At 38.5% G+C, this 17955-nt stretch overlaps 2 long non-coding RNA genes across 2 annotated transcripts in view; one reads left to right on the top strand and one right to left on the bottom strand.

Moving 5' to 3' along the window:
- Positions 1-17955, bottom strand: part of LINC01692 (long intergenic non-protein coding RNA 1692) — a 217197-nt gene that overhangs the window by 53360 nt on the left and 145882 nt on the right. The window lies entirely within an intron of this gene.
- LOC107985516 (uncharacterized) lies at positions 11332-17322 on the top strand. Its single transcript, XR_001754982.1, has 3 exons — positions 11332-11464; positions 11559-12399; positions 17126-17322. It is a non-coding gene; the product is annotated as an uncharacterized LOC107985516 (long non-coding RNA).

Raw genomic sequence — 17955 nt, 5'->3', positions numbered from 1 at the left:
AACCTCCACCCCCCCCCCCTCTCCGGGTTCAAATACTTCTCCTGCCTCAGCTCCCGAGTACCTGGGACTACAGGCACATGCCGCCACACCCAGCTAATATTGTATTTTTAGTAGAGACGGGGTTTCACCATGTTGGCCAGGCTGGTCTGGAACTCCTGACCTCAGGTGATCCGCCTGCCTTGGCCTCCCAAAGGGTTGGGAGTACAGGTTGAGCCACCACACCCAGCCAAAGTCACATATTTAGCTAGCTTTCTCTCTTTAAATAAATGTGAGATGCCAGAGTGCTGCAATGACCTAGAATCAAGTAGAACTTTTTGCACAGAATACATGGCGAAGAATGTGAGACTTAAAATAGCATTTTCAAGGAATGAAGACAAAATTATAGGCAGGTTATATAATAGTAAAATTCAAATTGTGAAAACAGCTTGCCAAATTAACACAAATTAGAAAAGTTGGGAAAGAGCTGACAAAGCTGGTAGGTGAGAGTATTGTAGCTTACAGTTAACATTTAGTTCAAGTTATAACAACTAGGGCCTAAAGGGGAAATGGTGATCAGTGTGGTCAATGTATGATGATTTCATTTTAAAACAAGAAAGCAAGTGTTACTGCTTTTGTGATGCACTAAGATTGAGGATCTAGACTGAAGCTGTGAGATATATCATTACAAACTTGAAAATTGGAAATGAAGAATTAGCTTCTTTTTCTACCGTCATCTTTGGAAATTGGTTAAAGGGTTAATTGTGCTACCATTTGTAGTATGGGAGAAGCCAGAGATAGGTCATGGTTTAGAGCCAGAAGTAATGATTTTCTTTATTCACGTATAGTGTTTTTGTAAAATGGGAAGCAATATAAAGTAGAACTTTGAATCAAAATAAATCTAAATGAACAGCAACAAAAAAAGGTAGGGCAGAGATGTGAATTTTAGAATCATTAGGGCAAAAAAGATCTCATCAAGGACAGGAGAGAAATAAAAGAGCAAAATATCTAATAGTCAAGCTTGAAGAATGACCACATGCAGAACAAAATACATGACATTCAAGAGGTTGTACCATCTCACACAAATATACATGAGAACTAGAAATAGATTGTGTCTCAGTTGAGGTACTTGAAATTATTTTCAGAATGGAGAAGGCAGTTGTCTTCATCAGGGAGAAATAATTTCATGCTTTTTCACCATTCTGTGTTTTGGGGAATGGGTGGGAGGGATAGTGGTTTGTGCTAAGTTCTAATTGCCTTCTACTCAATTAAGGAAAGACAATCTACATTTTTATTATTAAGTGATTGATGGTGCACTGTGATTATGAGTTTGATCATGAAACATATGAATTTGATTTCTCTTTCCTTTAAAAATTACCCAGTCTTGGGTATTTCTTCATAGCAGCATGAGAATGGACTAATAAATACACTTTCCTTCCAGTATCTCACAATTTTGTGGCTTGAAGGGATTTCTCATGTAAAAAGAACCAACTCGGCTCCAGTGAACATGAAAGCAAACTTCCGGCAGGACTTTGACCTTTCTAGCTAAACTTGCCACCTCCTCTTTTCAGTTTTGGATCTCTGAGCCAAACTTGTATTTTCTCTCCCTATTTTCATCTTCTACTCTGAGCAAATAAGGTGAAAAGTAAACACTGAATCCCAAGACACACTGGAAACTCATTCTATTCTGTTTCTTTTAGCCATAAGATTTCCCCACTCACTTTCAGGAATAAACAGTTTCAGAAAGCAATCTTTATAGTTTAATAGCATGTGGCATTTACAGTCTCTGAAGCCCAAATTTCTCTTTAACGTTTTCTCCTTCAATAACCTGAGTCTCCTGGATATTGTCGTTCTATGCCTGAGCACGGTTTCCCTTCTACATTGGTCCTTGATTTTTTTTTTTTCTTAAACAGACACATTTGGTCCTATTTTGTGACAATTATTGCCGCAAAATAAAACATCAAAAATATTTCAAAGTTGTTTCATAACATATAAATGATCTACACATTTCTTAAACATATCTCTTTCATTTGCCTACATTTATATTTGATACAGGCAGCTGAAAGCCACATATCAATTTTCCTTTATTTGGTGCTTAGAAGGTAGAACGTGGCATTATGTGGAAAATAATTCTGTAAGGGAAAAAAATTGGAGTAGATATAGGTTATTTTCCTCTCCATTTACAGAGCACAATATTACCAAAAGAAGATATTTTATTGAAATAAGTTATCTAAATAATTTGACTATGAATGTGAAAACATGAAAATATAATTACATGTGTTTGACATACTTGAGAAAAATGTTGTCTTTAGAACTCAGTGATATAGTTCTTTTGTCAAAAGCACACTGTTTCCAACTGTATTTTAGTTGTGCTTTTATGTGGCAATGAATGTTAATTTTTTTTCTCAGGTAAAATAAATATACAGGGAGGTTAACCTGAAGTCAAAAAGATAAATTTAAAAAATTGTTTCTAATTGGTTGCTTATCTAAATTCACTTTATTACTTGAAGAGAATTATCTTTACTCTCCTTTGATATTATGATTCTTTGCTACTCTGGGAATACAGCCATTCTTTTAGTACTGGATTATGTATTTGACAGTATAGCTCTCTAAACACAACATTTTTGGTCATAAAGATATAATAATCAGAAAGTAACTTCAAAAGTTCAATAGTTCCTCTCTTGAAAACTCTTTCCTAGGTCATTGTTTTAGCCATTTATACATTGTGCAACTCTTCTAAGAGAGAGAAGATGATTTTCCCTTTTACTCTTGTAATTTTCTCATACATTGATATCATGAAACTAAAAATCTTCTCTATTCTTTTCATTGATATCTCTGAAAAGTGTTGGCATTAGGCATACGCTTTCAGACATTTCCTTAAAAAAATAGGTTTTCCCCCAGCCACCATGGAAGACCTAGTTGATCCTTTGTTTTTATTTTTTCTTAAAGTCCAATAGAGCTTTTTTTTTCTTTTCTTAATGTCCAATGGGGCTAATCCCTCTCTTGCTCTCTCTTCGTATGTTTAAATTCCATTGCCTTACATTTTCTGTGGGAACCTAGTGTTCTTAATTGTAAGAATCTGAGTTTTACATAATTAAAAGTATTCAGGACTTTGTTTTGTAGCAATTTTAACTAATTCTGTCTTTTATAGTATATAAAAGTCCACAGGCATTATTTATTGTGTGTAGTAATAATTGTTTTTTAATGCAAAAGTGAGCCCAGTAAATATTTTTAAATATAACAATTCAGAATAAATTTTGTTTAAGTGCAAAGACTAGCGAAAAGGAAATAAATATTACCAATATATATGTAAGAATTGAGAAATTTGGGAAAAAAACAACTATAGTATTGGAGTGAAATTTAAAGCAGGATTTTTTTTTTTACCTGTTACATGAAAATTCTAGGAATGTATTACTTTATTTCCTGAAATAAGAGCTAAATTTTGAGAAGATGTTATGGCCTTAAGCATGGCCACAGGTGAATTTTCTCAAAATCTAGAGGCCACTTTTAGTTTTTAAAGTGACAGACTTCTAGAATGAGCAGAGTGTTGTGTTTTTCATAGAGATTGTAGGTTTTGTGCAGGTAGGTCACTAATCGTTCCATCTTAGTCCTAACGAATAACATGGTGCCTTAGTATTTTCTACCTGCTTCTACTCTTGCCTCCCCTCAGTCTACTCTTGTATTAGTCTGGTCTCATGCTGCAGACATCCCTGAGACTGGGTAATTTATAAAAGAAACAGCTTTAATTGATTCACAGCTCCACATGGCTTGGGAGGCCTCACAATCATGGCGGAAGACGAAGGGAGAGCATTGGGACTTCTGATGTGGTGGTGGGCAAGAGGGAATGAGAGCATAGTGAAAGGGGTTTCCCTTATAAAACCTTCAGATCTCATGAGACTTACTCACTGAGTCTTATTCATGAGACAGTATGGAGGAACTGCCCCCATAATTCAATGATCTCCTACCAGGTCCCTCCCATAACATATGGGAATCATGGGAGCTACAATTCAAGATGAGATTTGGTTGGGGACATAGCCAAACCATATCAACTCCTTACCTAGCAACAAAATTATCTTTTAAAATGCAATCTGTATTACATCATTCTTCCACTTAAAATGCTCCAGTGGTGTTTCATTTCATGTAGAATGAACTTGAAATGTCTGACCAGGGCATATAAATCACTCTTTCCTCCCCAGCTCATCTCACAACTTTCTCCCCAGTGCCCATTCTACATTTCAACTAGTATTCCTCTCTTCCTTGATTATTCCACATTTGCTGTTGCCTTAGGGCCTTGTCACCAGCTGTGTTACCACTTGGAACATTTTCCTGACAAATAATTTCTTAGCTGGTTCCTTCTTGTCTTGAAATTCGATTCAAATGTTACTTCCTTGAGATGCCACTCAGCATTGGAGTGAGAAGGGTAAGTCAGTCTCTATAATATTAATTAGTTTTAGTTTCTTCCTGGCACTTTCCACTCTGCAAAGATAGATTCTTTCTCTACATGCCAAAAAATAAAATAAAGAGGAAAAAGAAAAGGACAGAAAACAAAAATAAATACCAAGTCTATGAGAAGAGAGTTCTTATCTGTTGTGATTAAAATATTTACTCTCAGCACCTAAAATAGTTCCTAGCACATGATAAGTTCTCATCCTATGTTTTGTAAATGAAGAAATAAATGGGTAAGTAAAAAGCATAAGTTCAAAAATTATTTGCTAAAAAGAGTGAACTAAAAAAATATACCTCAGACTGTCCAGCCTCCATTCTCTGAGTAAATGCTCGATAAATCAATCATCCTATAACTTGGCTTTCCAGTGCTGCATGATTCCAATAGCCAGTCAATTATGTTGATAGTCAACGAACATTTTTAAAGACACTTAGGTGTCAGGCTGGGGACAGAGGGAGCGAACAAGCCAGGAGTGCGTGAGTCCCTGCCTCAGGGAACTTACATTCTAGTATGAAAGCAAACTATATATGTGCCAAAAAAAAGAAAAAAGAAAAAAAAGAAAAAAAAAGAGTGCAATGATGTCAGAAAAGTAGGGCCATGCAGAAATTGGTCAAGGACTCTGCGTTTTAAGTTTCATATAAAGCCACTATAAAGTTGAAAACAGAAAAATAAAAATACGGAGCTACACTTTAACTTTGGCAAGATCCCACTAAGCACTCATCGACATTGTTTTACTATTGTACTGCCATGGTAATTATTTCTCTTTTCATCAAAAATGTGAGAATTGACTTGCCAATCTATGTTGGATTTTGACTTTCAAAATTTTACTGTTACGCCTCTTTCTTCAGTATGTCCTAGCCACCTACTGTTCTCTGATGAGTCTGTCTGATCTTTACAATTTGCCCATTTCCATTTTTGTCTGTTTTACCCTAATTCTAACACTTTATTGAACATTTTATACCTAGAGAATATTTTATTTTATTATTTTTTTTGTATTTATGATATACTTTAAAACACATTTTAATAGTTTTAGGGGTACAAGTGGTTTTTGGTTACCTGAAAGAATTATACAGTGATAAAGTCTGAGCTTTGAGCGTATCTGACACCCAAATGGTGCACATTGTACCCAATAGGTATTTTTTCATTCCTTACTCATCACCCTCGTCCTCTTCTGAGTCTTCAGTGTCCACTATACCACTCTATTCTAGCGAATATTTTAAATGTATTATAGATACTTATATAACCGAAGTTAAAACTCAGCTGGTAAATATTGATATGGTGAAATAAAAGCCAAGTTAATAAATACTGACTGAAGTAATTAAATCACCAAACAAAACCATAAAGTAGCCTATATTTTTTAATTTAAATTTTAATTGATTGAATTCTATAGGTGTCTATGTAAAATTTATACTTAGAAACGGAAGTAGAAGATTAGACATTCAAACAAGATAATTTTTATAAATTTAATCAGGAAAAATTGTGTTACTTCTTTAATTTTCATTCTCCAGTGATAAAAGGTTTATATATTTATAACCATTCTAAGCCTAATATTTTAATATTAAGAATTGAACTAAGGTTAATATTTAATATTAAGACTTGAACTAAGTTAGTCATTTTATTTATTTTTTTAACCAATGAATTATTTTTTTTAAACACAACTTTACTCAGATAGAGTAAAACAGGGCTGGCTGGTTTGGTTAAAACAGACCATAGGACTTGTGGTGGAGGGATGGTGGGGGAAGCCTAATATTTTAATGTTCAGAACTGAACTAAGCTTAATATTTAATATTAAGACTTGAACTAAGTTAGTCATTTTATTTATTTTTTTAACCAATGAATTATTTTCTTTAAACACAACTTTACTCAGATAGAGTAAAACAGGGCTGGCTGGTCTGGTTAAAACAGACCATAGGACTTGTGGTGGAGGGATGGTGGGGGAAGTTTCTGCTTTCCTTGTGGTTTCTATCTCCAGATGATCCTGGGCAAAAGTACAGAGGTGATTTCTCACCTCAGATCCTAGTCCGAAAATAATTAAAGTAAATTTTTTTTTTTTGCCTGTCATTTTTGAGTAGGAAAATCAGAGCCCACCTTGCAAATTGGTTTCTAATGATGGGATTTTTTGGTATCACATTGTGACTAAACTGTTAATTGACAGTTTTTATGGACTTTCCTGGATGACTAAGGATGGAACATTCCTAGGTGAACTATAGGTAGCACTGATCTCAAGAATCATGTGGGTAAATTCTAATCTAAAGAGCAAAGTTAGTGGCTTTATTAGAAATGGCTACAGAGTGAGAAGATAAGTGCACAAGCAGGACTGTTATTTGAGGATACACTGTTCTTAGGGCAGGATCCAGAATCATACAGAATCTTTCTCATATTTAGTAGAATGTGTTCATGATTAAACACGAATACAAAATATAGTAAATGTATAACATAGATATATAACATTCAGATGACAGGTAACTTATTTTTATTTATTTATTTATTTATTTATTTATTTATTTATTTGAGACACAGTCTCGCTCTGTCGCCCAGGCTGGAGTGCAGCGGTGCGATCTCGGCTCACTGCAAGCTCCGCCTCCGGGGTTCACGCCATTCTCCTGCCTCAGCCTCCAGAGTAGCTGGGACTACAGGTGCCCGCCACCACGCCCAGCTAATTTTTTTGTATTTTTTTAGTAGAGATGGGGTTTCACCGTGTTAGCCAGGATGGCCTTGATCTCCTGACTTCGTGATCCGCCTGCCGTGGTCTCCCAAAGTGCTGGGATTACAGGCGTGAGCCACCGCGCCCCGCCAATGACAGGTAACTTCAATCATGAAACAATTTTAGGTGTTGTCATTGTCTGGGAGGGGTTGAGATCTATATGATTGTTTCAGGTATTTGTGTGGTTTTTTTTTTTTTTTGTCTTTAGGATAAATGTTTTAAAAGTCTCTGAAATAAATGCATTTTTGTATTTATGTGACTTGTAACTTTTTCCCTTTCTGGGAGGAAAAGTGATTTTAGATGTATGTATATATATCACACATGTTTTATCCATTGTGTGTCATTCAATTGTTAGGTGATATAATATTGCTCTGCCACTCAAAAGAACCAAGTTGTCCTTAGCCACATACATGTAATTGACTAAAGGATTACATGTATTAGGATTGAACTTTTCCCTATTGATCCCCCTTCTTTCTTCCAGCAATCCCATTACTGGGTATATACCCAAAGGATTTATAAATCATGCTACTATAAAGACACATGCACACGTATGTTTACTGTGGCACTATTCACAATAGCAAAGACTTGGAACCAACCCAAATATCCATCAATAATAGACTGGATAAAGAAAATGTGGCACATACACACCATGGAATACTATGCAGCCATAAAAAAGGATGAGTTCATGTCCTTTGCAGGGACATGGATGAAGCTGGAAACCATCATTCTCAGCAAACTATCACAAGGACAGAAAACCAAGCATGTTCTCACTCATAAGTGGGAGTTTAACAATGAGAACGCCTGGACACAGGGAGGGGAACATCACACACCGGGGCCTGTCAGGGGTGGGGGACTAGGGGAGGGATAGCATTGGGAGAAATACATAATGTAAATGACGAGTTGATGGATGCAGCAAACCAACATGGCACATGTATACCTATGTAACAAACCTGCACATTGTGCACATGTACCCCAGAACTTGAAGTATAAAAGAAACAAAAAACAAAACAAAACTAAATCTACAAGTAGTCTGTTATCAAAGAGAGATGTAACTTTATGTTCTGGTAGAGAACTTTCCTATTTTTATGTCAGAGTTACTTTTTGAAATGTGCCATGGGTGGATTATTGTCCAAAGAATATTAAAAAACAGCAGAAGTTCATTTTATATAGCAATATAGGATTCATTTTAATTGGCAGTATCTAGTATTTAATAATACTAAAAACCTCCCTGGTAACTTCGATTCAGGTTATTTAGGAGTTGAAGGCATTAGAAAAAACGTAATTTTTGTTTTATTTTCTTTTAATATTAAACTTGCAATTTTACAATTTGGAGCAATAACATTTTCAGAAATGCTTTACAAGAACATAATTATAAAGCAGCTTCGTCGTCTGGGGTAAATACTACCAAGGTTTTTGGTCTCACAGTGAAGGAGACAGAGGTCATGGACACACACACAGACACAGTGAGTTCGGAGCAGGAGTTTAACAGGCAAAAGGAAAGAACAGCTTTCCGTTACAGAGAGGGGTCCTGAGTGGGTTGCTGGGTGGCAGTAAAAATGCCAGGGTTTTTATAAATGGTCTAGTGAGAAGGGGGCTGTTGAGAAGGGGGTGTCTTATCCTCCTGGGTGCCCAAAGGTTCAGTTGAGCCAGGTATGCTATCTGTATAGAGCAGAGTTTTTGTTTGTTTGTTTGTTTGTTTTATCAGTTCCCACTCCATTCCCGGACCACATAGGCCAACTTTTAGTCTGTGTCTCTTTGTCTTGCTTACGTGGGAGGGAGAGTTTCTGTCTGTTCCCATACGTCTTCCTGCAGCTGCAGGCATACCTCCAAATCTGCTTTTAGCTTCCCTATCTTAGTGCACCTAAAGGGAAAGGAATGTGCTTATTACAGCCCACTGTTTTACTGGGACCCATGGTATAAATGTGAAGTTTGGTGATTATCCAGGAGACCTTCCCCCCTCCTTCTGTGCCCCAGCTGTCTTATCTGTGTTTTGTTGTCTGCTCTTTCAGGCTGCTTGTTGTTAGAAGAGAAGTGGCATCCTTGAACTGCATGAGGTTAGAAAGGGAGCTCTGTTTGAGCTGCTTTTTGTTAAAAGGAAAGTTTCCTGCCGGGGACTCGCTTTACCCTGTCTACCTAAATAATTTCTTTTTGTCTCCTATAACATATTTCTCCCCTCTGCAATGGGATCCCTAACTGCTGTTAGGGGGAATTGGGTGACGACTTCTTCTGGCCACTTCCTGCTGGAGAGGGGTATTGTGTGGGGACCAGCAATTAGGGCTCCTCCAGGGATCAATTTAAGGGTCCCCGGTAGAAGGGCGGTTTCATTTTAGAAGGACAGTTTCATTTTCAGCTCCATTTGCAGCACCATTTGAAACTAGATGGTTTCTAGGCAAGAAGAGATGAACTTTACAAGGAGGTTCAGCATATAGGGTCTAAATATGAGTATTAATTAAGATTACCATTATTAGTGCGGGCACTATAGACCACAACCATGACATCAGAGTTTGTTTGATGCCTGTGAGCCATGTAGATGGGTTGTGCTGTGGCACGTGGGTGATAATATTGGTTGCCTCTACTAGATGTTGCTGTACTTTACCAGAAGCATTAATATAGGAGCAACACTCTTCCTTAAGGAAAACACATATTCCTCTCTGACTTGCCATTAGGAGGTTCTGTCCCATACGGTTTTGCAGGGTGATACCTGCAAGTGAGTTTATTTGCCATTGCTGTTCTTGAATGGCAGCTGTAATTTCTTTTCCTTTTTTTTTTTTTTCAAGATGAAGTCTTACTGTGTCACCCAGGCTGGAGTGCAGTGGTGTGATCTCAGCTCACTGCAACCTCTGCCTCCCAGGTTCAAGCGATTCTCCTGCCTCAGCCTTCCGAGTAGCTGGGATTACAGGTGTGTGCCACCATGCCCGGCCACTTTTTGTATTTTTTTGGTAGAAATGGGGTTTCACCATATTGGCCAGGCTGGTCTTGAACTTCTGACCTCGTTATCCGCCTGCCTCGGCCTCCCAAAGTGCTGGGATTACAGGCGTGAGCCACCATGCCTGATTGCCAGCCGTAATTTCAGCTAGAGCTTGGGTTTGCTGAAAGGATAAATGTAATCCCATTTACCTTCGGGAGACGGACTGAACAGTGGTTCCTAGGAGTCCAGTTACAACAGCTGCTAAAGGGAGTAGAATTACATGAGCTGCCTGAGTAGAATTACGTGAGCTGCCTTTTTTACTACAATATGGGTGTTTCATAAGGAATGGGAATTGTATGGAAGTATTGGCATAGGATAGTTTTGAAAGTATTGCTGCAACACCACAGGTTCTCCTCCAGTGACTTGGTGGGCTCATATACCCCAAATTTCCACATATGAAGCATAGCTCTCGTTTGAGATCTAGAGACACTTTGTATCCCCAAAAGTTCAGCTCTACATGGGGGGGTCTTGTGTACTTAAGTAGTTCCCACTGAGGTCCTCCCATATTGAGGCAAATTCTGCTCAAATGCTGGGGGTGAATATATGATTGGGGTGGAAATTTAAAAACATTCTCTGCACTACCCAGGCTAAAGTTTGGGTTAGGGGTAAAGGCGAGTTATCTATCAACACTGAGTACCAACCCGTAGAAATGTGAGAAGTGTTGGTGTTACTAGTAAATTGAGGTTGCCTTGAATTTGGATATTTAAGGAGAAGGAACTGGTGCTGCTTTCTTACTTTAAGGTACTATTTGAGTCTCTTTTCTGAGGAGTCACATGACCTTTCCTGAGCTGTCCAGCTAAGAAAGACTTCATATGAGCAGTTGGACAAGGTTCTCAGGAAAGTTCCTTTTTTCCTTTGGGACATGAAATAAATAGGAAATGTGAGCCTTGAATCTACATTGTGAAAGACTTTTATAGGAGGTGGGGTTTCTGTAAAATTCAGGTCTGGGTGGCCATCCTTTATAACTTGTGAGATGATTGGGAGAAATATATTCTTGACTTGCTTATCAGGATAAGTTGCATTGGACTGAGCAGCGAGGGTAACTGGAGTGTTAACTTTGGCTAAATCCTCCAATGATAGTGGTAATACTTCCGCTGACAGCGAGTCTGAAGTACAAATATAACATGAAGTTAGGTTGACTGCCAAGGCGAGGTGTTGGATTTGTTGGGCTATAGGGTTTAGGGGATTGACCTGCTCTATCAGGAGGAGGAAGAAAAGTTTCAGTAGCAAGAACTTCATATTTGTCTTTTTTTTCTGTAATTATTAGACCTGTTATAAAGGTGATAGTTAGGCAGAAGATTACAGCAAGTACAATTCTGTGTCCAGAATTCCACTGTGTATCATGGTATATAGTCCCACTGCAAACAGCAGAGTAAGTATAGCAATTCCTGCAATTATAATGTAGTAAGCTATTTCCATCCAAAATTTATTTACCATTTGCCAGAATATACAATTTCCCCTTGTAGGTCTATGAACTTACAAACGTACTCCCAAGGATAGTCAAAATCTCCCTGCAAGTATGCATCAAAGAAGAGTTGTAATGTCTGGCGGCGAAGTTCAAGGGGAAAGGTGGAAATAACTGAGAGGATTTGGTAAGGCAAAGAGGGGGCTATGTGGAATGAGTAGCCCTCATTCATTTACTTATCTTTGGTTGTTCTCAGCTTGAGATCCTCTATTTGTTCACAGTGATATTCAGGGCGTTTTTCTGGGCTGTCAGGGACTTTTCCCTCAGTTTTCCAAGCTTTAACTCAAGTGTGATGTATCCAGGAGTAGATTCAGGTAACTTTTATTGTCAAGAGGGTGGAGAGAAGAACGGTTTAAGGCCCCTCCCAACTCGGGTTTAAAGACAGGAGAGAGAAGGAAGAGACTTCACCAGTACCAAATCTCCTGGGTTAAATAGAGGTGGTCCTGTTTCCTTGTGTTGGGCCTCTGCTAGTTGTGTTAATTCCTGTTGGAAATGAGCCAGGGAGGTTACGTGCTTAACTAATTCGGAGGTTTCCTGATCTAATAGGAAGTCATTTGTAAGGAAAGGCCATCCCTACAGTATATCGAGAGGGCTCAGGCCTAACTTTGAAGGGGTATTTCTTACTCGTAGTAAAGCTATGGGAAGAAGAATGACTCAAGGAAGTTGAGTTTCCTGGGACAGTTTTCTGAGGTGTCTTTTGATAATGTTTGTTTTCTCTGCCTTTCCTGAGGACCGGGGCCTCCAAGCACAATGGAGATGGCACTGTATGCCTAGTGCCTTTGAGACCTCCTGGATGACAGCTGCTTTAAATGAGGGGCCGTTGTCGCTTCGGAGATACTTAGGTAGGCCAAAGCGGGGAGATATTTCATTAACTAGCACTTTTATTACTTCAGAGGCGCTTTCTGTACGGCATGGAAATGCTTCTACCCAATTAGTGAAAATATCTACCCACGCTAGGAAGTATTGGATGCGCTTTGTCTTCGGCATGTGGGTGGACTAATTGCCAGTTCTCTCCTGGATAGCTTCCTATTCTTTGGGTTTGAGGGAGAAGAAGCCGTTTATTGAGGGAATTATTCTTAAGACATCCCCTTCTCAACAGCCCCCTCTCCCTAGCCCATTTATGAAACCCCTGATATTTTTTCTACCACCCAGCAACCCCGCTCCAGATCCCTCTCTGTAATGAAGAGCTGTTCTTTCCTTTTGCTTACTAAACTCCTGCTCCAAAACTCACTCTGCCTGTGTGTGTCCGTGACCTCGATCTCCTTGGCTGTGAGGCCAAGAACCTTGGTATTTACCACAGACAATGAGGTTGTTTCAATTATACTTGAATAATAATCAAATAGCCCATACTCAAAGGTAAAATATGTATTACACAAAAATATTCAGCACACAGCTGATTCTGTTTTCAAAAAAAGAAAACACTGAGAAAATTACACAAAATTATCTACCTCAAAATTCATACATATTTGATGAATGGATTACCTGGCAAAAGAAGAGACATATACATTTAATTCCCTCCTTTTAATTTTTTTAGGTTTTGTTGTTTTTCTTTTTTTTTCTTTCTCTTTTCTTTTTTCGTTTTTTTTTTTTGACGGAGTCTCACTCTGTTGCCTAGGTTGGAGTGCACACCTCCCAGGTTCAAGCGATTCTCCTGCCTCAGCCTCCTGAGTAGCTGGGATTACAGGTGCCTACCACCATGCCTGGCTAATTTTTGTATTTTTGGTAGAGACAGGGTTTCACCATGTTGGTCAGGCTTGTCTCGAACTCCTGACCTCATGATCTGCCCACCTCAGCCTCCCAAAGTGCTGGGATTACAGGAGTGAGCCACCACACCCGGCCTTATTTCCTTTTTTAATGTTTAAAATTAATTATTTCTTAAGAAATATTTATGTATTTATTTGGGATTCCATTTGTTTTTGGGATCCTTATTGTTTTATTTTGCCTACAACTTTTTTGGAAGATTTTATTTTTGCTTTTATTTTTTATTATTCTGACTGGTTCCTGTCTCCAAGAAGTGGAGATAGATTCATTGACTTTCACACAAGGGAAACTTCCTGGAGTCATTTGGACTGACTTGCTGCTATAGGTAAAAATGACTTGGCAGTAAGTTACTGATAGAATATTGATGAGACTTTCTACAACAACAGAAAAGCTATAGCAAGGGCTTTCTTTTTTTTTTTTTTTTTGATGGAGTTTTGCTCTTGTTGCCCAGGCTGGCACAATCTTGGCTCACTGCAACCTCCGCCTCCCAGGTTCAAGCGATTCTCCTGCCTCAGCCTCCTGAGTAGCTGGGATTACAGGCACCTGCCACCACGACCAGCTAATTTTGTAGTTTTAGTACAGATGGGGTTTCTCCATGTTGGCAGGCTGGTCTGGAACTCCTGACCTCAGGTGATCTGCCTGCCTCAGCCTCCCAAAGTTTTGGGATTACAGGTGTGAGCCACCGCACCTGGCCTAGCAAGGGCTATTATATTAACACTCAGAGACCTTGTTAACTACTTGACTCCAGATTTTTTTGCAACCATAAATTGCATTTAGAGGGGCATAAAGCACACAGTGCCTGGGGAACCTGGTTTAGGATAGCATTCAGGATGATGCTCAGTGTTTATGTTGGAAAATGATTTCCAAGTGACTCTTAAAAAGTGAGTTTTGCTTGTGCTATGAACTTGGACGAGTTCACTTTGTCCAGTCTTCAGAAATGCAACATTTTTTTTCCTACTATTGTGTGATAGCACTGTGTGATTTGTCATTGTCACTTGGGTTATCTGCTCTGCTCTCCTTAGTGACACTCTATTGTATGAAAATGTAGCAGGGCAAGTCAGAAATGGGGAAAGGCACTAGAGTTGACAAGCCCTGCATTTAGCTCTATGGGAGTGCATCTACTTATGAAAAAGTATATGGAAATATGTGCCCCATCTACTAAGTATTTTTTGACCTTCACATGAAAAAATTAATATGAGTGTGCAGTGTAACTTATAAACTGTGGGACAAAACTACTCTCAGTATTTGTAGCATGATCATTTTTACTGCAAACCCATGAGGGACAGAATCCCCAAAAAACATTCTCAGAACAGCTTTGTTTTTCCTTTCATTTCCCAGAGTCAGCTGCTTCATTTTCTCTTCATGTCTACAGAATAACATTTTGATCTGGGAGATCATATCATCACTGTGTGAGTTGGCTATTGCTGTGTAAGCCATCTCCAAAACTCACTGCTTGAAACAACAATCATTTATTATGATAGCTTTCTAGTTATGAGGGCAAAGTTTGGCTGATCTTAGCTGGGGTCACTCATACATCTTTGGGTTGGAGGCTGTTGGCTAGTGTAGACTGGCCTCATCTGGGGCAACTGGGACCATTTGGCTCTGTTCTGTATGACTTTCATCTTTTTCTGGGACCAGGAAGCAAAGCGAAGCATATATATTATCATAGCAAGAGCACAGGGCAAGTGCAAGCAAGCCTGGGCTTACAAGCCTTTTTAAAACTTCTACTTGTGTTATATCTGCCAATATTTCACTGGCCAGAGGAAGTCAGTTGGCTAAGCCCGGAATCAAGAAATTACAACCCTCACCACTCCAACTCTCACTACTCCAAGCCTCAATACTCCAACCCTCACCACTCCATCCCTCACCACTCCAACCCTCACCACTCCAGCTCTCCCCACTCCAACCCTCCCCACTCCAACCCACGCCACTCCATCCCTCGCCACTCCAGCCCTCGCCACTCCAACCCACGCCACTCCATCCCTCGCCACTCCAGCCCTCGCCACTCCAATCCTCGCCACTCCATCCCTCACCACTCCAACCCTCCCCACTCCAACCCTCACCACTTTGCATCCTCTACTTTACAGCATGGAGGATGCTGCAAAGTATGTGGTAAAAGATGAAACTAGGAGGGAGTGACAAATTGGAGTCATTCTTGCAATCTGCTACAGTCACCTTTCTAGAACAGTATATTCCAAAGTGAGACAATTGTATCTATGCCCATAATCACTTATACTCACAATATATCCATATGTTCTTAGCACAAATCTAATCTTAAATGAGCACATTTGTTTTTCTTTTCTTGTTTTTTCTTTTCAAACATTGTATTTAGAGTATCAGCTCCAAATATTAGCTGCTGGCACATAAAGGATATCTTGGCAGGGTGCGGTGGCTCAGCCTGTGATCCCAGCACTTTGGGAGGCCAAGGCGGGCAGATCACCTGAGGTCAGGAGTTTGAGACCAGCCTGACCAATATGGTGAAATCCCGTCTCTACTAAAGATACAAAAATTAGCCGGGCATGGTGGCGGGTGCCTGTAGTCCCAGATACTGGGGAGGCTGAGACAGGAGAATTGCTTGAACCCAGGAGGCGGAGATTGCAGTGAGCCGAGTTCGTAGCACTGCACTCCAACCTGGGCGACAGAGTGATACTCCATCTCAAAAAAAAAAAAAAAAGCCATATTGCTAGTCAATGCCAAATATTATAAATATTAAAATCCTGCATAGTAAAACACACACACACAACCACACACACTCATACAAATATGCTCCTTTTTCAATATCAACCATATTTTAAAATTTATACCACATGAACATCCTAAATCAGATCTAAATATAGGCAACATACAGTAATACAACTACTACTGCCAGTATCATCTATACATACATGCTTTAAGTGTATTTTCATGCTTATCATATTTCTTACACTTGATAATTTGAAAGAACTTAGTTGTTCAAACTATTCCTCCTATCTAGCAGATACTATAGCAGAACAAATTCACTTTATAGCACTGCTTATAAAATTTAACCTGATTTAAATCTTATTTATTTTTGCAAATCAGACTCGCCTGATTTTATTAGAGATCTTGGGCTTTTTCACAGTATTACATTTGCTATTATAAAGTTATTAAAAGATAATTTAATAGTCTATTTTAGTAACTATTATTGCTTTTCTCTAAATGTGTTCTCAACATATTTTGCATTTATATTCAAATTGACTTTGCCGAGCCTGATGTTGTCTATAAAGGAAGGCTGATAATTATTCTCCACTGCACACTTTGTCATATTTATGCTTAGCTCATTTCATTAGGAAATAAAATTGTATTTGATTTAGTATGCTCATCATTTCCTTGTGTGTGTGTGTTGGTGTATATGAAGTAATAATTGTAGTAGCTCAGATTTGAGTTCATACTTTGACATAGAGGTTGCATGAAACAAAACTATTTTTTGGCCAATTTTGAGTTCAGGAAAGATTCTGACTTAACCATGCAAAAAAGGTTAACAAAATGTAGGTATGATAAATACATACAAACACAGGTTTGGTTCTTTAAGAAGCAGCAGAGGTCAGGTTTGTTTAAGAAAAAAACAAAACTGTAAGCATGAGTTTACAGGATCTAGTTTAATACTTATCTTCCCTCCCTTGTAAGAAAGTCACAATCTCTTGAGTTCTTGTTTTCTCATCCAAAAAAAAAAAAAAAATGAGGTAATAATAATCAACTTTCCAATCTCATGCCTTTTGGGCATGTTTAAAACAAATAGCAGTTAGGACAGTGTTGGGCAAATTCTAACATAATAAATTTATGTCCTAGTGCAGATTAAGTTAAGAGCTGGTGTTATTACTGAGAGCAACAGAGACTAGAAAACGTGCTAATAATTTGATGTTCAGATGCCTGGCTAGTCGGCAACATCACGGAATGCTTCACAGCAGAAAACGGGCTACATCCCTTGACTTTGACTATGACAAAAAAGAAGATACACTTGTCAAGAAAATTCATTGAAAATTTGGTCTTTCAGAAACAATATGTAAATTGTAGGTAAGCTTTATAAATATATATTGAGTATCACCCACACAAACACACGCACAAATACACATTTCGTGATTTTAGAGGAGGAAGGCATTTCAGATGGAAACAGCTCTGTAAAGGTACAAAGCGCAGTTTGAAGATGGCACTCAGTGAATCTTCCTCCTGAAGCAGAGATTAAGGGAAGTAAAAGGATATTTGGACAGTGTGAGAGAAATGAGGCAATTATATTGGATGGGGCAGTAAATGAAGGATGGGCAGCATGAAATTGATGGAGTTAGGAGAAGAAAAAGGGCTACAGAAATTGTCAAAACCTGGAACCAACCTAGACATCCTTCAATAGAATAAATAAACTCTGGTACATCAATAATAGATAAACTGTGGTACATTCATACAATGGAAAATTATTCAGTATTAAAAAGAAATGAGCTATCAAGCCATGAAAAAATGTGAGGAAACCTTCACTGTATATTGCTAAGTGAAAGAAACCAATATAAAAGATGAATGTACTGTATGATTCTGATTATGTGACATTTTAGGAAAGGTAAAACTATGGAGACAGTACATAGATCAATGGTCACCAGAGCATTATGGGGAGGAAGGGAAGGATAAATTGG

This window comes from Homo sapiens, chromosome 21 (genome assembly GCF_000001405.40).
Source record: "Homo sapiens chromosome 21, GRCh38.p14 Primary Assembly".
Classification (NCBI taxonomy): Eukaryota; Metazoa; Chordata; class Mammalia; order Primates; family Hominidae; genus Homo; species Homo sapiens.
Note: the sequence above shows the minus strand (reverse complement) of the source record. Positions and strands in the feature narration are given on the sequence as shown.